Source organism: Homo sapiens, chromosome 2, assembly GCF_000001405.40.
Source record: "Homo sapiens chromosome 2, GRCh38.p14 Primary Assembly".
Lineage (NCBI taxonomy): Eukaryota > Metazoa > Chordata > Mammalia > Primates > Hominidae > Homo > Homo sapiens.
The window spans coordinates 154,804,680-154,825,123 of record NC_000002.12 but is presented as its reverse complement, the minus strand read 5'-3'; the positions used below and the strand labels follow the sequence as shown (position 1 = coordinate 154,825,123).

General features: G+C 35.6%; 1 protein-coding gene across 2 annotated transcripts in view, besides 1 other annotated feature; it reads right to left on the bottom strand.

The window, feature by feature from the left end:
- The window catches only part of KCNJ3 (potassium inwardly rectifying channel subfamily J member 3), a 159,660-nt gene that overhangs the window by 33,231 nt on the left and 105,985 nt on the right, over positions 1-20,444 (bottom strand). The gene's annotated exons all lie outside the window — the stretch shown is intronic.
- Positions 17,094-17,595: an enhancer, noted in NCBI's record as "NANOG hESC enhancer chr2:155664041-155664542 (GRCh37/hg19 assembly coordinates)". NCBI's record gives its function as "activates a minimal SCP1, AML or CMV promoter by ChIP-STARR-seq in naive H9 embryonic stem cells {active_cell/tissue: H9 hESC(naive)}" and the evidence as "EXISTENCE:reporter gene assay evidence [ECO:0000049][PMID:30033119]".

Here is a 20,444-nt window from a genome sequence, read left to right as displayed (position 1 = left end):
AAAAGGGAAGCCAGAAAGTACCTTGAATGTATTAAAGAAAACAAAAGTTATAAACAAGGCACAGACTATTAAAAAGGAAGGGGAGAGACATCAAGTAAATAAGCAAGTATTTATCTTAAGAGAAATACTCAAAACGGATTGCGCAGGACTGCAACACCAAATCATCCACATAATATTTTCCCATAAAGAGGATTCACACATGCTTCACTGCATTACTTTTGAGAAGACCCCACTGCAGTCATTAGTGCACAGTAGTTGCTTTGGCCTGCACCCCTGCAAGGTAAGTTATTAATGTGTTTTTTTATATAAGCCATCTTCTAGTTACACAACTATTCATGCGGTTTCTGCAACATTCTTTTCTTCTGGCTGGATTCTGCTTCCTGATTTCCATACACGACAATGGTTTGTATTACATAATTAAAAAATAAACACTGTTTGTTTTCCTGTTTATAAAATACATTTATATGTTTCTCAATACAAGAAATACCATTGCAAATAACAGGTATATCTTAAGTTTTTTATAGATTACTCACTAGTTTTATTTCAGTGGTAGAACCTCAATAAATCCTTGACTTTAAAATCACTTTTAAAACACAAATTTGGTGCAGGGGGATTTACATATGTCTGACATATTTTAGGCACCCAAACCGTTGTTAAAATGAAAAGCTGATGTTTAATATTTAAGGAGACTGGTGTGAATATATCAAGAATAAATATTAATAAAAATAATATGACAGTAATATATTCTCAAGTATAGGGTAATTTTTTATTTCTATTTTATTTTTCTTGAGATGAGATCTCACTCTGTCATCCAGACTGGAGTGCAGTGGCGCGATCACAGCTTACTGCACCCATGACCTCCCAGGCTCAAGTGATCCTCCCCGCCTCAGCCCACCAAGTAGCTGGGACTACAGGTGTATGCCACTATGCCCGGCTGATTTTTGTATTTTTTGTAGAGATGTGGTTTCACCATGTTGCTCAGGCTGGTCTCCAACTCCTGAGCTCAAGCAATCCATCCACCTCGGCCTTCCAAAGTGCTAGGATTACAGGTGTGAGCCACACTACATCAGGCCTAAGTATAGGGTAATTTAAAGCCAAATATAATTTTCTCAATTTCTCATTGCAAAGGGAACAAACAAAACTCTATACACCAATAAGTTTTACTTCAAGGAAGTTGTAGCTCTTCATTCATTAATTTATTTATTCAACAATTATATGATGAGTACTTCCTTTATGCTAAACACTAAAAAGTCATAAGATCAAAGACGAATAAATGACACAAACCCCCTGACTCCATGGACATCACAGTCTTCTATAGAAGACAAAAATATAAACACCTTACAAAAAAGCAATATAAATAAACTAAGATGTATATGTATAAATATTGTGATAACAGGAAACTAATTTAAATTGGGCTGAGTAAGATTGGGGACACCACTTAAGAGGAGGCAATATATGAAGTGAGTTTGTAATGCAGATATACATTATATTGAAAAGGGGAATAAAAAACAAGGAATTGATATATTCAAGAGTCAGTGAAGGCAGTGAGAGCAGAGAAGGAGTTTACATTTGAGAGATGTAGGCATTGGGATCTATGTGCTTACCACATGGTAGATGCTCTAAATACCTGCTGGTTGAAGAGATAAAAAACTGAATAAATCAAACCGTGATTATTGCTGGACTTTAGTCATTGACTCGATGTAAAAAAAAAAAAAAAGAATGTGGAAAGTTTCTACGGTACTGCAATTCTCTTTACTTTACCCTGGCCTCTTTTTCTTTCTCTCTCTCTCTCTTTTCCATCTCCTTCTGCCCTTCTAATTCTCTATCAAAACATCAACTATTCTTTATTTTATCATTGCCTTTTGTCCTTTTGATTATTATTCATATAATTCCATTCATTGTGCAGTAATAAAGGATTAAAAGTTAACTCAATGTTGCATATGCATGATTGTATGTACCATACTTTTTATTAGTACCATATCAATATTATTTGGCAATGTAAATTATTAGAAACATCTGTTTCGGTTCCCAGTAGTCAAACAATGTACTTCAAACATGTACTCTTCATAAAAAGAATATCCTTCATGTTATAAAAATATCAGATTTTAATATTATATTCATATGCATAAGAAACATATTAATGCTATATATTAATTACATATGATTAATACATAGTAATTATATACTTATATTAATGGTTTCATATTATATCCAATGCCAAATTTAACAAATATTACACTATTACTTAGTCAGCTAAAAGCATTTAGAATTATAGTACCACAAATTATTTCTGTCTACTATATCAGATTATTTTATTCAACTATTTTTGGTATACTGTGAATTCAACTGCTGGTACTTTTAGAAAATATATTCTATTTTAATAATTTGAGCAATTTAAAATTATATATTTAAAAATATCTAATTAGCATATTAATTAATGTTTCATTTACTTGGAGGAATGAAAACTTTACTCCTGTAATCAAATAGGTATGTTTACTGCAATTCAAACATAGTATTCATTAGCACAGCAAAATGCTCAGAAACTGCTACATAAAGTGCCAACTACATTAACTAAACTGAGTTCATCATGTCAATGAAGGAATGACAAGTGGAAAGAAAACTATTTTATTTGTAAAAATGAATGGATAGATTTTTATGGATCCAATTCTAGTGTTTGCCACAGTACTATTTCATTTGGTCAATTAGAGAAACTGAACAGACCATTTGTAAATGTCATCCTAGGTCAGTTAGAGCTGCAGAAATGCCTCAGTGGTTCAAGATAATTATGAGGCACACAGTTAAAAAATAGAAAGTATGAATTTTAGTACTGTAGATTTAGTACTGTAGTTTCAATCCCACATATTAAGAAAATTTACATGATCATGTACATTTGACTTATTCCACCTCAGATATTTGCAAACCTGCTCGTGTTCATTTGTAAACGTCTGAAAATATATTACAAAACTATTTACTGAAGTCAGAAAAATGTTACTCTGCTGCCTTGTTTCTGATGTTTTCGTGGAGAACATCATCATTAAGTTTGGCAAGTGTAATACTGTATAGGTAGTGAACAGTAACATTGGCATACTTTAAGTCCAGAATTAAGAAAATAGAATGATTGCACTCTTTGGTGTAGTTCTGCTGTCAACAGATGCACATTTAAAAAAAAAAATCACATATTCAGGCTGGGAGCGGTGGCTCACTCCTGTAATCCCAGCATTTTGGGAGGCCAAGGCGAATGGATTATCTGAGGTCAGGAGTTCGAGACCAGCTGGGCCCACATAGTGAAACCTGGTCTCTACTAAAAATACAAAAAATAGCCAGGTGTGGTGGCACATGTCTGTAGACCCAGCTACTCAGGAGGCTAACAAAGGAAAATTGCTTGAACGAGGGAGGCAAAGTTGCGGTGAGCGGAGATCGCACCACTAAACTCTAGCCTGGACGACAGAGTGAGACTCCATCTCAAAAAAAAAAAAAAAAAAAAAAAATCACATATTCTCTTTTTCTTTTTTTGGAAAAGTTGGTGCTAGCATATCTGCTCAGTCACTGCAAGCTTTTGAGGCAGGCTGTTCTTTAAATTAGAAAGCCATCCCAAGGAAAGTACAAAATACACTAATGGAATCTTGTTTCAATTACTGTGCAGAAACTGATTTGTAGATAGCTTGGCTTTGAAGGGATACAGGGAAAATATTTTCAAAACAAAATTTCCTACCTTCAAACTTCGTAGTGGATTATTTTCTAATAGTTGCCTAGTAATCTGCTCATGAAAAATAATGCACTTTCAAGAAATAGTGTCTATGTCTTGACTCTCACATCCAGGCTATGATCTCCTAATACCATTTTCACTTTCTTTCACAAAGAGAGAAATTTGGGCTTTTTGAAGGATTGGCTCATTCCAGATCTGGGGCAAAAAAATGCACAAGATGAGACTGACAACTTGTGCTGACAAACAAGAAAACTGTCAATGTCTAATGAAATTGTGTGCAAAGGGCATGAGGGCCAGCTTGACTGGGCTAGTACTGATAAGAGACAAGGAATTTGAGCATGGAAAAGAATAATGAGTATAATTAAGAGAAATATTGAATGTATAATATCCAGGAGCTCATAATGATACTTAAAAACATAGACGTGATACAGAGACAAATTACTCAAACCAAATGAAAGAGAAAATAAAATCTCTTGTTTCAGCTGAAGGTAGCTAGAGCACCAACCCTTTACTCTAAAAGTTGGTAATTAAAGGGAGAAATTAAAATTCAGGGTAACTAAATCACTTTAGTTGTTAAGGACAAATTTTCTTTTACAGAGTAATTCTAGACAATAAATTTTAAGAGAAACAATAAAATTAGAAAATTACCATCATTTTGCAACCTCAAATGAAATAAGTGATTCATGCAATGATTATCAATGGATACTGTGAATAAACCTTCTCTGAAAAGGAATTTAGACACTGAAAGCTGTAACTGCCAGGTTTGCAAACTGTTCACTAGAAGACAGAAAGTTTCTGTCTTCCAAATCCCTTTTCAGAGAACTTTTGTTCACAATACTAAAACCATCAGGAGAAAAGTTGATAGGAAAATTTACAATTGAACAACCTGGCCTCAAGCGTCTTCACCCTTCAACCTCCAACCACCACTAAAATGGGACAAGCAGATGTTGCGTCTCCTGATGTGATACAATATTAAGTACACAGCATCACCTTTGAAATATTTTAGTTAAAAATGATGACACTGAATCAAATCAAACCATTTGTTCTATCTTCTAATTTTCAGGAAATACAATGGATAAAGATACATAGTGACTAACATCGTAAGAAAACACAAAAAATTCAGAATGTAGAAATTCTATCAATTGTTTCAGTTTCTTCAATAACTCGATAACGTTGGGAGATAAAGTGGGCTGTATATGCAACAAGGGATCCTGGGTTGGATCCTGGAAGAAGAAGGAAAAAATAATTAATGAAAACAACTGGTGGAATTTGAATTCACCAGTAGGTTAATTAATAATATTGTGACCAATGTTAATTTTTTGGTTTTGATTATTGCACTATGGCTATGTAAGATGTTAATACTAGGGGAAGCTGAGGGAAGAGTATTTTCCAACTCTGTGCTATTTTGCAATGTTTCCATAATTCTAAAAACACAACAAATGCAAAGCACACAGCTTGTTTTGTTCTGAATTTGAACATACTCATCATAAAGGGATTTTTTTTTTTGCCAATCTGGAAAACTTAAATATAAATTCAGTATTACATGTTAAACTTAAACTTAAGTTTGTTATATATAATAATAGTGTTGTATCCGGGAGTGGTGGCTCCTGCCTGTAATCCCAGCACTTTGGGAGGGTGAGGTGGGTAGATCACGAGGTCAAGAGATTGAGAGCATCCTGGCCAACAGGGTGCAACCCCATCTCTACTAAAAATACAAAAATTAGCTGGGCGTGGTGGTGCACACCTGTAGTCCCAGCTACTCAGGAGGCTGAGGCAGAAGAATAGCTTGAACCCGGGAGGCAGAGGTTGCAGTGAGCCGAGATCATGCCACTGCACTCCAGCCTGGTGACAAAACAAGACTCCATCTCAAAAATAAATAAATAAATAAATAAAAATAAATAAAATGTTATTGTGTTTAGAGAAGAATATATCATTAATTTGAAAAACACAGAAGTATTTAGTAATAAAATGTCATGATTCTAAAGGTTCAACTTAAAAATTCAACAGAAAAAAGAAAATTAAGCATTGATTATTTGTCACTGATACTGATTGAATCTGAGGATGGGTATATGACAGTTTACTATAACATCATCTCCACATTTGTGTTTGTTTGCAAACCCTAACAATAAAAAGTTTTTTAAAAGTTTACATTTTATAACATTTGCTTGGCCATGAAACTAGGACAAAGTTCTGGGCCCATTTCAGCCTCTGGTCATACCTTTCATTCACTATATGCTGAGGTGCAATAGTTATCTCATGGTCTTTTTTTCTTTTCTTTACTTTTTCAAAGACATGGTTTCACTATGTCTCTCAGGCTGGTCTCGAACTCTTAGGCTCCAGCAATCCTGCCTCTGCTTTCAGAGTAGCTGGGATTATAGACACACTCTGGCCTTGCCTCATTATCTTGCTATTGCAAGGACTGCCTGGCAATCCCTGATGGCCTGCAGTAGAATTTCACAAGATGATTAAAAAAAAAAAAAAAAAAAAAAAAAAAAAAAAGGCTTTTGCAGCTACAGCTCAAGCTCTATTGGATTTCTATTATGTTTAGCTGGCTGCTGAATTCTAACAAAATGGACAAAATGTCAAAAGCATCAGTTGTGCTTTGTCCACACTGAAGCTTTTCAGATGTTTTGAAACTTCCATGCATGTAATCACAGACCAATTAAAGAAAACAATAGTTTCTTAAATAACTGAATACTCTTGTCATTACAATTTCTTTTTAAAGTTTCAAAATAAGTATAGAATGGCAGCATAGTAGTGAGGTTAAAACCAGTATTTAGAATCAGACATTTTTTTAGGTGTATGACTTTTCTAGGGTCTCTCTAAGCTTCAGTTTCTTCATCTGACAAAAGGTAATAATACCTGTAGTTGGAATTCTGAGAAATAACTGAGATATCACATGTAAAACACTTAGGAAAATGTTTGATGCAAATGACTGCTAAATAAAACAAAGTAATAATGATGCTGTCTCAATTCTTCTGTTCTCCAGATGGAGAAGTAGATGTTTCTTTTGAACAACACTGGTCTATGACAGGATGCAAACAACTAGTTTGTGTCAAAATAAAAAAAAACATGTATCTAGTTTCCCTCCCTAGCCATTTCAGTGGGAAAATATTTTCAATGTTAACTCCAATCCAAGACCCATACTTCGAAGAATTTCAGAAATTGAGGAAGGCTATGTTATTCCCCACAACCTAGAGGAGTCCAAGGTTACATATGGTATGATAAAAGTATCAGGAAATGAAGTATACTTTTATCATACCATATATACCCATATATCATATATAAGTTAATACATAATAAAGGGAATATTTATTCTAACTTTTCTTCCACCAAAAAGGGGGTGCAAATAGCTTTGCATGATCAAGTGTGGCTCATGATTTTCATATAAGAACATGGAGAGAGAGATAATAGTATAAAAATGATTATATCAGTTTCTACAAGACACGAAATAAGAAAATTTCTTATTTGATTAATAAATATGACATCGTTGGACACGTTTTTATTGACCATGCTTTAAATCTCAATGGGATAAAGGCAAAACTTATTTGGGATGTGGGTTTTATACAAGGTACAGGAACTAATGGACAGTAAAACAAAGGTTAAAATACGAGAATGGCATGAATTAAAGGGGATGAATGGGAAGGTTTAGTTATTAGGAAGCACTTCCTAACAATGAAATCTATTAGAGCAGGGAAAGTTATCCTGGGGGAATTATAGAAGTCTTATGGACCAAATCATTTCAGTTGACTAGACAAAATAATCAAAAATGGCATTAAAGAACAGTCCCTTAAGAGAAAGAGAGGGGAGGTAGGTTGATTAGATAACCTAATAGAGCTGTCTCTTCTTTAAATTTCCATAATCCTAAAATTCTATGAGGTTTTTAAACAGTTTGATCACTCATTAGAGAGACTTTAATTTCATTTTTTGTGACACATCTAATAGGTGAACAGCAGTGATTGTGCAAACTTGGCCCAGCTTGCTCTCTGGGGCTTGGATTTCTGGCAAAAAAGCTAACTCCAGCTCTAACATAAACCTCAGTGAAACCAATAATTACTAAGTAATCCCTGTGCAGAATTTCCATCAGACATTGAAGGCTCCTATCAGCACTGCTAATGTAGAATTATTGAAATTTAAATCAGAAGTGTTTATCCAACACTGTGATGAAATAAAGTGATTTGAGACTGCTTATCATGATTAAGGCTGCAGACTACAGGTTATTATTGGAATGCAAAAGAAGTATGAAATTAATGGGAAGAAAACCAAACATAGGTTCTTATTATCAGGGGGAAGAAAAGGATTGTATCTTGAATGCAATTAATGCACTCAAATGATTGTGTTATTTTTGTTTCCTCACATTAATAATTTTTACAACTGAGGACTGCCATAGATATGATATAATGCCTCAGGGCCAAATGACTTGCCAGAAGAAGAAAAATAAAGTCATAAACTATTTAAAATTACTCACAGGGCTTTATCTTTCAGATATGAAACTAATATCCATGATTAATGTAAAGGCCAATGAGAAATTGCGATAAGGATAGAAGGGCTACACTTTACATCCATACACTTTACATCCATACACTTTACATCCATATTTTAGAATGTGTGTACAGAATAATTATTAATACTTACATGCAAACATCACCTCAGGAAAATCAGTTTTTCCTAAGGCTTACATAAACTGAAAGTTTAATGGTGAAAGTTATTTGCTATGACATCTGCTGATGTATTCAAAAATTTTCTATCCATTATTTTATGGTCCGAATTTATAAAGATAGAGCCTACCAATATATAATTATTTGTATGTATTAAACACCATATGTATAACTTTTATTATGGCCAGTTGTCAGTGCTTTTCTGTTTTCACCAGTTCACAAGCCTTTAAAGTATTTGTGAATGTGCTTTTATTTCCAAATAGAAATGAGCTCCTCCAGCTTTGGGATTTCATTTATTCATATACTATACTACGTGACATAGCAGGCATTCTAAAATGCATGTTGCATAAAAGGAAAAGTTAAAAACAGGTCAAAAACAAAAACCAAATGATGACGCTTTTTTCCTTTTTAATCAGTGACATCCAAACTGTAGTGTAGAAGCTATTTTTAAATGAGCAACTTTTTTAAGACTTTGATCAAGTCCCAACAACCAATATTCTTTTTGCATAATATTGTGTAAGGCATTTTTAACTCACTTACTGCAGCTACTTTTATAAAATTTTTTAACTGTTTGATCATGTTAAGTAATTTACTCCTTTGTATTTAAGAATGTTCTGAATTTCAAATAAAGGTTTTCTTCATTATATCATTCACAGTTTTGCGAATCTACTACATGCGAGGCAGAGCAACACCCTCATGAAGTTTGCATTCTAATGAAAAGAGAAAAAAAGTAAGCAAGCAAACAAATAATTGGCTTGCAGGCAGTGATCAGCTCTCTGAAAAATACTAAAACACTATGGTGGGACACACATTTATATTCTGGCTGCCAAGAAACACTTCCCTGATGAGTAGGTACGTAAATAAAGGGAACAAGGAAAACCATGGAAATATGTGGAAGAACTGGGTTTCAGCAAAAGGACAGTAAATGAAAAGACCCTGAGATGGATACAGGCTTGGTAAGTAAGAACAGCAGTATTCTGTCCAGTATGGCTGAAGGGCCTGCAGTGAGGCAATGAATATTAAGAATTGAATCAGGGAACAAGTAAAGAGTCTGCTTATGCAGGCCTCATAGATTAACAGAAAACATATAATATACAAGGAAGACAGGAAGGGCATTTCTCTCACGAGTCAAAATGCATGAGCACTTCATATATGCCTATGCATAAGTACACACAAGTTCTATACTGGGTTAATTAATACATTTTCCATCCATTTAGTCATTGATTCTTTCTGGTAAACATGGGCATGTGTGATAGTCCTATAAATAAATTACAAAGGACAACATTGAAAGCTGACTGCACAATCAATATTAATGTCTAATGCAGATTCAAAAGGAAAAAAGAGGAGATAAAAAAGAACTGAACAAAAGATGCAGTTCCTGCTTGCTATTACCAATTATTGATATAGATCTTTGGAATAGAATTAGCCATTGAGGATTTTTTAAATTCCTGAGTATTGTCTATACCTGAATTAATAACCATGTATGTTTACCTTTTTAGGATTTAGTTAAAGTTGAAACACATATTGAAGAAGTTGAGAAGGCTCTCTTCCTTAAGGAGAAAAAAAAAGATACAGAAAAAAATAATTTCTATAGAGATATGGCTTTAAAGGAAATGTTTATATTGAAAAGAAGTCAAACAAATTAGGCAATTCAACTGTTGTATTTGCTTGACTCCTAGGGATAGGAGCAGCTATTCCTGCACTTTCAGCATACCGTATACACACAAGCCTTGCTTTTGTGCAAATCATGGTGCCTGCTTTAACTGTCTTACCTACTTACAGTTGTAATCTTTTCCAGAATTGCTTTCTGGCTCTAAAAGTATTAACTGTTAAATTTCCTGTCTTAGAGTAAATGTTGTTTCTACCACTTTATTCTTAGAACTTAGAACTTAACAAAGATTACAAAATGTTCCTGGGTGTCACCTTTCATAATAATGCATATAAAGTCATTGATTACAAATTTTTACCTGAAGGCCTGTGAAGGCAGTTCTACAGAGATAATTATAAAATAAAAAGATTAAAAGGTGAGTAAAAATGATTTTTGTAAATTTTATATATTGAGAGATTTCCTCCCTTAACATACTTCATTTATTTTATTTTGTTTTATTTATTTATTTTTTTTGAGACGGAGTCTTGCTCTTGTTGCCCAGGCTGGAGCACAGTGGCACGATCTTGGCTCACTGCAAACTCCGCCTCCCAGGTTCAAATGATTCTCCTGCCTCAGCCTCCTGAGTAGCTGGGATTACAGGCTCCTGCCACCACACCAGGGTAATTTTGTATTTTTAGTACAGACGAGGTTTCACCATGTTGGCCAGCCTGGTCTCGAACTCCTGACCTCAGGTGATCTGCCCACCTCAGCCTCCCAAAGTGTTAGGATTACACGCATAAGCCACTGCACCCAGCCAAAATACTTCATTTTATACCTGATACATACTTTGAGGATTATAATATTTGTATACTTATACGTTATATTAGACACTATATATTTAAAAGATTTGCTAGTTATTTATAGTATTGCATGTGCCCTGGGAATAGAGCTGTCACCTTATGTCAAAAGTCACACAGTTAGGTGAACAACAAAATTAGTTACTAAATTTAGTTTTAAAAAGAAAATTAAACCTTTAAAAATGTATGTTAAGCAATAATATTAACAGAACTGTTGAGGAAGTAATGACAAGGTAGGAGAGAATGTGATGAGACTAGAATTTAAGACATTGTTGGAGAAGTGTAGCAATTGACCAGTCAGTGGCAAATATGTGGACCACACAACTGGTTGATGAATATACACATTTTTAAAGGCTACAACTTGTGACTATTTATCTGGGCATGTAAACCCAATATTGAAACATAACATTAAAGGGATAATGCATTTATCTCTGGTTCAGTAAGAGTGTAAAGCATTGTTCTATGTGAGGAAGATGCCAGTTGACATCATCACGGCCTATAACTAAAGCTCTCTCTCACACAGTGTTAACATTGTATCCTTAGGGCACAAAGGTTGCATTTATAAGGTCCATAACAAGAGTTACACATTTTGATCTCTAGATATGAAATTTGATTCAGCTGACTGGATAGTATCAAGATAATTTATATTACATATTTTACATAGTACAAATTTACATAATACATATTTTGCTAAACCAATGATAAAACATCCCAAATAATAACAAATGTCTTGAAAAGTGGCAAATTACCATATCCATCTAAACCTATGTTCTACCAGAATTCACTGAAGCAGTCAACAACATAAGAAAAAGAAAAAAAAATTAAACTTTGGATTCTAATAGAAGTAATTTCTGCTAAATAGAGTATAGAAAGAACCAGAGGATGGAAAGGCCACTTTGATCCAGGGCTCCATGCATGATGAAAATGTTTGTTTGAGAAACAAGTGGAGCAGAACTCAGGGTACCATTAACAACATAATCTTGCAGAGATTATGGATGGGGGTTCTTATCAGCAACGCTTCAAACAGAAGCTTCGCAGAGCTTCCCATAATTTGCATGTAGAAAAGATCTCTGTGCCTGGCAGAAAATGAAGCACAACTGCAAGCTAGTTACTAAAGAGGGCAAGTAGACTAGAAAAAAAAGATGTGATCGGCCCTGCTAACTACTAAGTTATGAATGAAACTCTTTAGCAATCCAACATAGTGATTAGGAGTGAGTTCTAGCTACTAACTAGCTGTGTAACCTGGGTTAATGAGTTACCCTTACTAACATCAGTTTCTGCATTTGAAAAACAGGAATGATCACAATACTTACCTGTGGATACTGCCTGTATTAGTGAATACACTAAATGTAAAACACTAACATATATAAGATATACTATATAAGATATACACAAAGTGCTCAATAAATCTTACTTACGATTATTTTATACAATATCTAGAATGAAGCTTTTACTGCCCTTTTTCCGGCTTTATTCACAGGCAATTTGACATATGACCTAGCAAAGCAAATTATAGATAAACTGTTTTTATATTTTTTAACCTCGTTATAGGAGAGCCAAAATAAATCAAAACAAACATTTGAAAAGCCTATATCAACTCCCAATATTATACTGCACCTGTATGAATGAAAAAACAGAAAGTTCCCCAGATTTTTAAAAAAATTCTTTAGTCTAAAAGAAGGGGGTTACTCTGGAGATCAGAACCACTGCTTTACGACGAAATCAATGTCCTACAAGAAATTCCAAGCAACTTGAGAAAGTTTCTAATTTGTCTTCTCAACAGAATTCAGAAGATTCTACAGCTTTCACAATAGAAAAGTCATGAATTAGCAATGGTAGATCAGGAAAGCTTAGCTAGAGATTTTTTAAAGACTCTTTTAAAATTAAAAGTGTATATATATTATAATTTTTGTCCTAACTCTTCTTTTTCACCTAAAAGTTGGATATATTCTGTGTCCTACACACCATGACAAGGCAGTCTGTCAAAATTTTCTTGATTATATAAGTGTCTGCTTGGTTCTACTGGGCTTTGGATTAAAATTATATTAATTTTAGAGATAAATCTGAGCCAAGTTTTACCTTTATAATATTGACTCTTCTCATCCAGGGCAATGGTATTCAAAGTTTTTTGTACAATAATCACTCAGTAAGCATTTATCAAAGGAATACATAAATGTCACCCAATTATTTTTTGCAATGCTCTTAAAATGCATCTTAAACATTTATTTTCAAGGTTATTCCAAGTTATTTTGTACTTCTGGTAAATGAGATCATTTTCCTCTTAAAGAATTTTGTTTAGTTGTCACTGGTAGAAACGGATGCTGAACAGGACTTTTTTCTTTGCCCAACAATTGAAAACTGGTGAACGACCTGGAAACACAGGAGGCTTTAAGTATCTTTTATTCTAAAGAGAATGTGAAAGAACAGGGAGCAGACCCTGCTAGTATATTCCAAGGTTAGTGTATTAAATGTGGCAGAATTAAGTAAAATACCACCCATCTCTGCTACAAACCTACAATTTGTCTTCCTCTATCCCATTTCCCTAAGATGGCTGAAAAACACACTGAAATTTGCTTCTTAACTAGATGTTTCTGGAGACCAAAGGCTTGCTAGAGCTCATGGGATTAGGACAGGAAGTAACAATGGTATAGTGGAGTGAGGGCTCATGAATTGATAGGGACAAACAGGAACAAAGTTTCCCCCTCTAAGAAAGTGATAGATTGGGCCGGGCACAGTGGTTCATGCCTGTAATCCCAGCACTTTGGGAGGCCAAGGTGGGCGGATCACAAGGTCAGGAGTTCGAGACCAGCCTGGCCAACATGGTGAAACCCCAACTCTACTAAAAATACAAAAACAAAAATTTAGCCAGGCATGGTGGTGCGCACCTGTGGTCCCAGCTACTTGGGAGGCGGAGGCAGAAAAATCGCTGAAAACTGTCCCCAGAACACTTATCTTTCCTGAGGAGGTATTTCATTGGCAGAGACTCCAAGAGCATATGGAACCAGTTTTGAGCCACCACCCTCCTATCACATTTTAATATAACCTGTCGTTTGACATATGCCACGTCTCCTAGCCCTCTTCCGGCCATGCATTCCAGAAGATTTAGAAGGTATGGGGGAGGAGATAACCCCAAGCCACACCCCTACTGCATAACTGCGTAAGTTTCTGGATGTGTACATCCTGATTTTCCCAGAGTTGTACTTGGTACATATTAAGCATACAATAAATGTAATAAATATATGAAGGTGAAGAAAGTTGTTCAAGCTTTATCCCACACAGGAACAAACCTAGTCATCCTATTTTCATTTGGACAAGAGAATGCAAGAGACATTCCAACAGTGTGATCTAAAATAACATTTAACTTTGGATAGTAAAAGGATCATCCATTAGCACTGGCAAATAAAATATCTTTATTCTGACAAAGTTTTATATGAGTCTGAGATCATTTGCCAGGAAAGAAAGTTATATGTATTTAGATATGTCTTTAGCCATTGCAGTTTCTTAAATTTTACTAGCCTGAGAAATAGCTTAGCCACATTGAGCTCAGATAAATACTTCAATTATATTTCTAGCTAATGAATTTTGGTTTCATTTTTATTTTTTAATTCATCTGTAGTTTGATTTGATATATTTTTGACTAGTTTTTCAAATAGTAAGCCAACTGTTATGGTACCACTTAATGATTTTTTTAAATAAAAATAGATTTGAAATGCCAGTTAAATGCCAAATTTATTTTTCATTCTTCTACTTTGATTAACTGATCTGGCTAGTCTTATAATAGTATTATTTTAAGTATTGGATCTCTTAGTTTTCAATAATTGATTCAATAATTGGCCCTTATGATATCTTATCTAGTAGGAAATGTTTTCCAAAAGTGTTCTTGTCTTGCCTGTTTTTCTTATTCCTTGAATTTATTGTAGAGAACAGTAGTGGCTGGGTGTCGTGGCTCATGCCTGTAATCCCAGCACTTTGGGAGGCTGAGGCAGGCAAATCCCTTGAGTCCAAGAGTTCAAGACTAGCCTGGACAACACGGTGAAATCCCATCTCCACAAAAAATACAAAAAATTAGTCAGGCGTGGTGGCACACAGTTGTAGTCCCAGCTACTGTGGAGGCTGAGGTGGGAGGATCACTTGAGCCCAGGAGGTCAAGGCTCAGTGAGCCGAGATTATGCCACTGCACTCCAGCCTGGGAAACAGAGAGAGATCCTTTCTCTAAAAAAGTAGGCAGAGAGAGAGAGAGAAAGAGAGAGAGGAACAATATTAATCATTGTTAGAACCGTATTTAGTGCCTTGCACATATAATTGTTCCATATATGTGATACTGAACTGAACTTTGGGAAAATGTAAATAAAATAAATCTGTGCATGCATGTATGTGTGTATATCCAGATAGTATATATGTGTGTGTGCATATATATATATATATAATATTTTCTATGATATAGAATTTCATATACAATATGTAAAATAGACAATGTTATTTCTTTATAATATTCACACACAGGTATAAAAACTTGCATAAACTAGCTATGCAATGTTTGCTTTTTGAGTATTAGGCAAAAAAATTATTGTGGATAAGATACCACTTTGCAAAGTATGTTATTGCTCTATATGAGTACATGACCAAGACTGCTTTAAGTTTTTGTTTCAAGTTCACAAACAGACAATGGACCTTTCTGCCTATGATAGAAAACCGGTAAATAAAGGAAAACCTCAAGCCAAGGCTTTCTGTGGTAGACGGTGCTAAAATGAAAACCTGACCACTCTTTGTCAATCCAATGTTACTTATTCTCTGCCTTGTATGAGAGCTTCTGATAATTGCTTTTATAGACAATTCACTTTACCTCTCAATTTGGTAATTAACCTGATTATCTCATTTAATTAGCCAACTACCCAGCCTACTCATTTTCACAGCCCTATTGTAGGTAAGATCATTCACTGCTCTTCTCAGTTTTCTCCGTAATGAAATAAAAATTCTAATCTCTCAGCATTAATGGAAAACCTCCTCTCATTGGTGGTTTTCCTTATCTGACTTATCTGACTGGTGAGATCTGGAGAAAAAACCTGGTTGATTTACCAGGAGTTGCAGGTTTCTTCTCTTGCCTTTCCTCTGCTATGCAGTAAGGTGCTCATTGCTGGACCGGGCTACCCAAAGCTGTCTAGGTCTGATTATATCTGAGGGAATGAGCTCGTGGGGTGGGGAGGGGTCAGGAAAACTGTTACTATTCCAAGCTGATTAGCCAAACTCCAGCTACATCATTGTGGCCCATGAAACTGAACTGTGTCATGCTTTTAGCTTTCCAGACCTTTTTCCATCTGACAATGATACAACTTTTGTCAGAAAGGTCACCTAGCAGTGGGCCAATAATCAAGGTATCTGACAGACATTTCATACCCCTTTTCATTCTTAAATGCTGATGTCATTAAGAATTGGCATGGTCTTTTAAAAATGTACAGAAAAAGATTCATGACCCCACCTCCTTCACCTTCTCCTGATCCATACACTTTAGTAAAGGCAATTTGGTCACAGAATATGGCAGTTTCTCCAAAAGATTAATTTTTTTCTTGATTGTCTCATGGGTAATAATCAAAATAAAAATGGTTGAAGAGTTATATCAGTCTAGTTTTTAAATTTGGGATGCCACCATGCATTTTTTGGTCATGATGCAATTTTTTGCCCTTAAAAACAACCTCAAGCCAGCCTGGTAAGTACTCAGACTAGGTGGCAACCTGGACCAAAGGTGGTCTAAGGAACTAACACTTAATTCTTGTTCAGCCACCTGAATTGTCTTGTTGGGTTGTTATTGTTCTCAGGTCACAAGGATAATGATCACTAACTGAGTGCACTGATCCTGAGTCTGTGATAGAGGCCCACATGAGGCAAGGTAGGAGAGTGTAATCCACCTCAACACATTTTATTTAAATGCCCTTATCCCGCCGAGTGTGGTGGCTCACCCCTGTAATCCCAGCACTTTGAGAGGCTGAGGCAGGTGGATCACCTGAGGTCAGGAGTTCAAGACCACCCTAGCCAACATGGTGAAACGCCATCTCTACTAAAATACAAAAATTAGCCAGGCATGGTGGCATGTGCCTGTAGTCCCAGCTACTTAGGAGGCTGAGGCAGGGAGAATTGCCTGAACCTGGGAGGCAGAGGTTGAAATAAACCGAGATTGTTCCACTGCACTCCAGCCTGTGTGACAGAGTAAGACTATGTCTCAAAAAAAAAAAAAAAATTTAAATGCCCTTATCCCTCTTCCATTTGACACTCCAGATGCAAGATCTGGGTGCAGGTAGATTATAATTGAGGAAAAGTTGAGTTTATGGGTACTAGAATGAGACACACTGATGCTGGGGGAGTACAGAGAGAGCACCAACTCCAACACCTGGGGAGGAAACACCTTAGAACCCAAGAGGGATAGAGTGGGGAGAGACACTAACGATCTTTTTGTCTTTCAGAGCCACCCTGGTGCCTTCCTCACAAAGAAACACATCCCAGTGTCCCAGTGCATCTCTCCTACAGGATAGCAAGCTGTTTAAATTTAAACAACTCTTAGATCTGCCACTCTTCACCAGGTGGTGGTGGCCATGACTTGATCACCAGTCTCTAAGTTTACCAAGGAGTCAATCAGAAACATTAAGAGGCAACCCTAGCTCCTGTAGCTCCAATGTAAAACACCTGTCACCACCTCTAGATGTCTTCTCATCTCCATCCCCATTTGTATCAGTGGATCATCCCATGGGATAGATAAATGCCACCTGGTAGTTGGTATAGACAAATATTATAGGTCAGACTGCTGTTCTCAGGTTATCCCTCCAAAGACAAAGTCTTAGCTGAATTGGAGACCTTAAGGTTTACAACCTAGCCAGGAAGCCACATCAGAGGCATTGTCAACCTGTGTCCTTGACTGATGTAGGTCACACATTGGGTGAACGACTATTGTAATTAACATTTTCCCTCCAAGGGTGCTATGTGTGTCACCAAGATTGTACTATTTCTGTGAATGCTAGGCATTAACTTTCTTCCCCCCAAGCCTGCTGTAACCTGTACCCAAGGAATGGTAATAAGAGCCCTTCAAATGTTTAATGAAACGCCACTAATCAATCCTGTAGTCCTCAGATCAATGTGGAAATCTCTCTGGAAAAGGCCACTATTCAAGGAGCTTCCAGGAGGAAGAAATGACTGAATGTTTCTGTGCACTCTGTGGGTGGTTATCTTTATAACTGATACTATCCAATTAGAAATAGTGATAATAAATGTGTCCCTGATTTTAGGTGAAATTATCAATGACACCATTATGGAAACAGAGGCATTTATGTCACCTCAACTCACTGGCAAGACTCTTATGCAGAACAGTATTGTCCTATGCATCCGTCTTTGAGACCAAGGTGAAACCCGTGGAATCTAATATACCCTGGTGTACCTGGATTAGTTCCCTTGGACAAGAGGAAAGGTCAGTGCGAGACTTAAAGAGAAAGTTACGTGTCTTTTTAAGGTATATTTTAAAATTTATAGGATTTGCTCAGGTAGCTGAATCTGGAAACCTGAGGAAGGCAGACATGGTTGAGGTAAATAGTGTAGGTTAGTGCCATCCTGCTGATTGGAGTCATGTTGATGGTAGCCTTACACATGATGTGAAAATCTGAGTGCAGCTAAGAATATGTAGGGCCACAAAGTGTTTTTTTCGGGAGAGGCAGTCTTCCAGGTCTCTTAGCATCCAGTATGTTATTGCTGAATACGCCAGACTTCAAGGCTTATTTGTCTCTTGATACTTAGCAGTTTTTCTAGCTAGTCACATAAGCAACTAAATAGGTCAAGTCTACCAGAGTATGACAACCATGTAACTGTGTGCTCCCTGGTGGACAGGGAATCTGCTTGTTTGCCATTTGGCATAATGTTTGATCCTTGCTCAAAAAGTTCTGGGCCCTTAGTCCTGGATTCCTCAGCTGTGAAGCAAACCCACTGCTTGTGTAACATCTGTCTGGTTCCATTGCATTGCTCCATTGGTACTTGAGAGGCAAAGGAGACAGACACAACTTTGCTGATGCTCATACTGCTCACTGTGTCATGAGTAATAACATCCCTTATCTCTGACCCAAGAGTCTTGTGTCTTCTGTCAGTATTCATGTAATGGAGGAAGGCTGCCTTTTCACTTGCAAGTAGAGTAAAATCAAATCTCAGAACCTTCACAATTCTCGAGAGGAAACAACATACATTTTGAATGAGATAATTGTACTCTATTTAAGCATCTCACTCGTTTTCAAAAAACAAATGGAATATATCTTTATAATTTGACAAAAAGCACACTACCTAGAAAGTAGCCAGACTCGGACTTGAACTAGTATATGAATGCAGAACATATTTTTGGCTATTGTCTATGCTTCCCTATATGTTCATGTAGAACATTGAAACATTAGAATATTTTGCATTTTGTTTATAAAATTTCCATATCTGTCTTATGTAATTCTGGTTATAACTCACTAAATATAATTTTTTTAAATCCTATTTTCTAAATTGGAAATCACTTCATGTAAATTTGATGAGTCTCATCATTATTCTTTTTAATTTTGTGTGATATATGCACATTCTTAAACTAGAGATTTAATTGTAATATGCCCATGCTACACATCATAATCTATCATTTGCATATAACAGTTAAAGAGAGCTGATTCAATATTTAAAATAATTTAAATATACTTCTATCATAGCCCTTTAACTAAAAAGTTCCACAAATTTAGATGCCAGGAATTTGTTAAGTAAAAATACAATCTTTTAGCTCCTTTGCTCCAAACTGTAATTCATATGATGTGCTGACTTTAAAATTATCCCTGCACTACCATTCAATAATTAACCAGAAGGAGAGAAAAGCAAATTTAAAATCATTTCAAAATGTTATTGAAATGTTTTCTGAAGAGAAAAAAATACTTCACAAGATTTCTCCTTCATTTCAGCCCGGCGTTCTTCTACTCCCTCTGAAGCTTTTGTTCCTATCAAGGCACTTACACAATTTCAGCAATCTGCCTACCCCAGGCTGATGGCAATACTTCATCAGCACAAGAAGAAATTATCTTGCCTCAAATTAGCCCTCCCTTTAGTCTGTTAGGTCACAATTTGTACCAGAAAAAAACCTGTTTTTTTTCTGTAATATTTCACAAGTTATTAAATTCACCTCTTTTGAACACAAACTTATAGATTGCAACTTTTCAATTCCACACCATATTCCAATTGCTAAGTTCACTTCTTAGGAAAATTGTTCATTCTTCTCAGGATTTCATTTGTCAGTCCTTCATTGTGTTTCTTATCCTTATATTCTAAGATCTGATAATGGAAATAAATTTCTGGAATATAATCCATTTGTAATGTGGTGTTCTCTATAATTTTATATTGAAACACATTTTAATATAAACAACTCAAATGATGTAATAATAAAAAACTGATAATGTGTAATTCTTACTGTAGACTATTTTTGTTTAATGTTTACAAAGTTTAGGAGCATGTCAGAGGAAAATACTTCCTCCAGTTGGGAACTCAGCTTTGGGTGATACTGACCCAGCTTTCAACATCAGCACCATTATTTTTAGTGTATGAACATGGATAAGCTCCTTAACTCTCTCTGTCTTGGAGTATCTGTCAATACA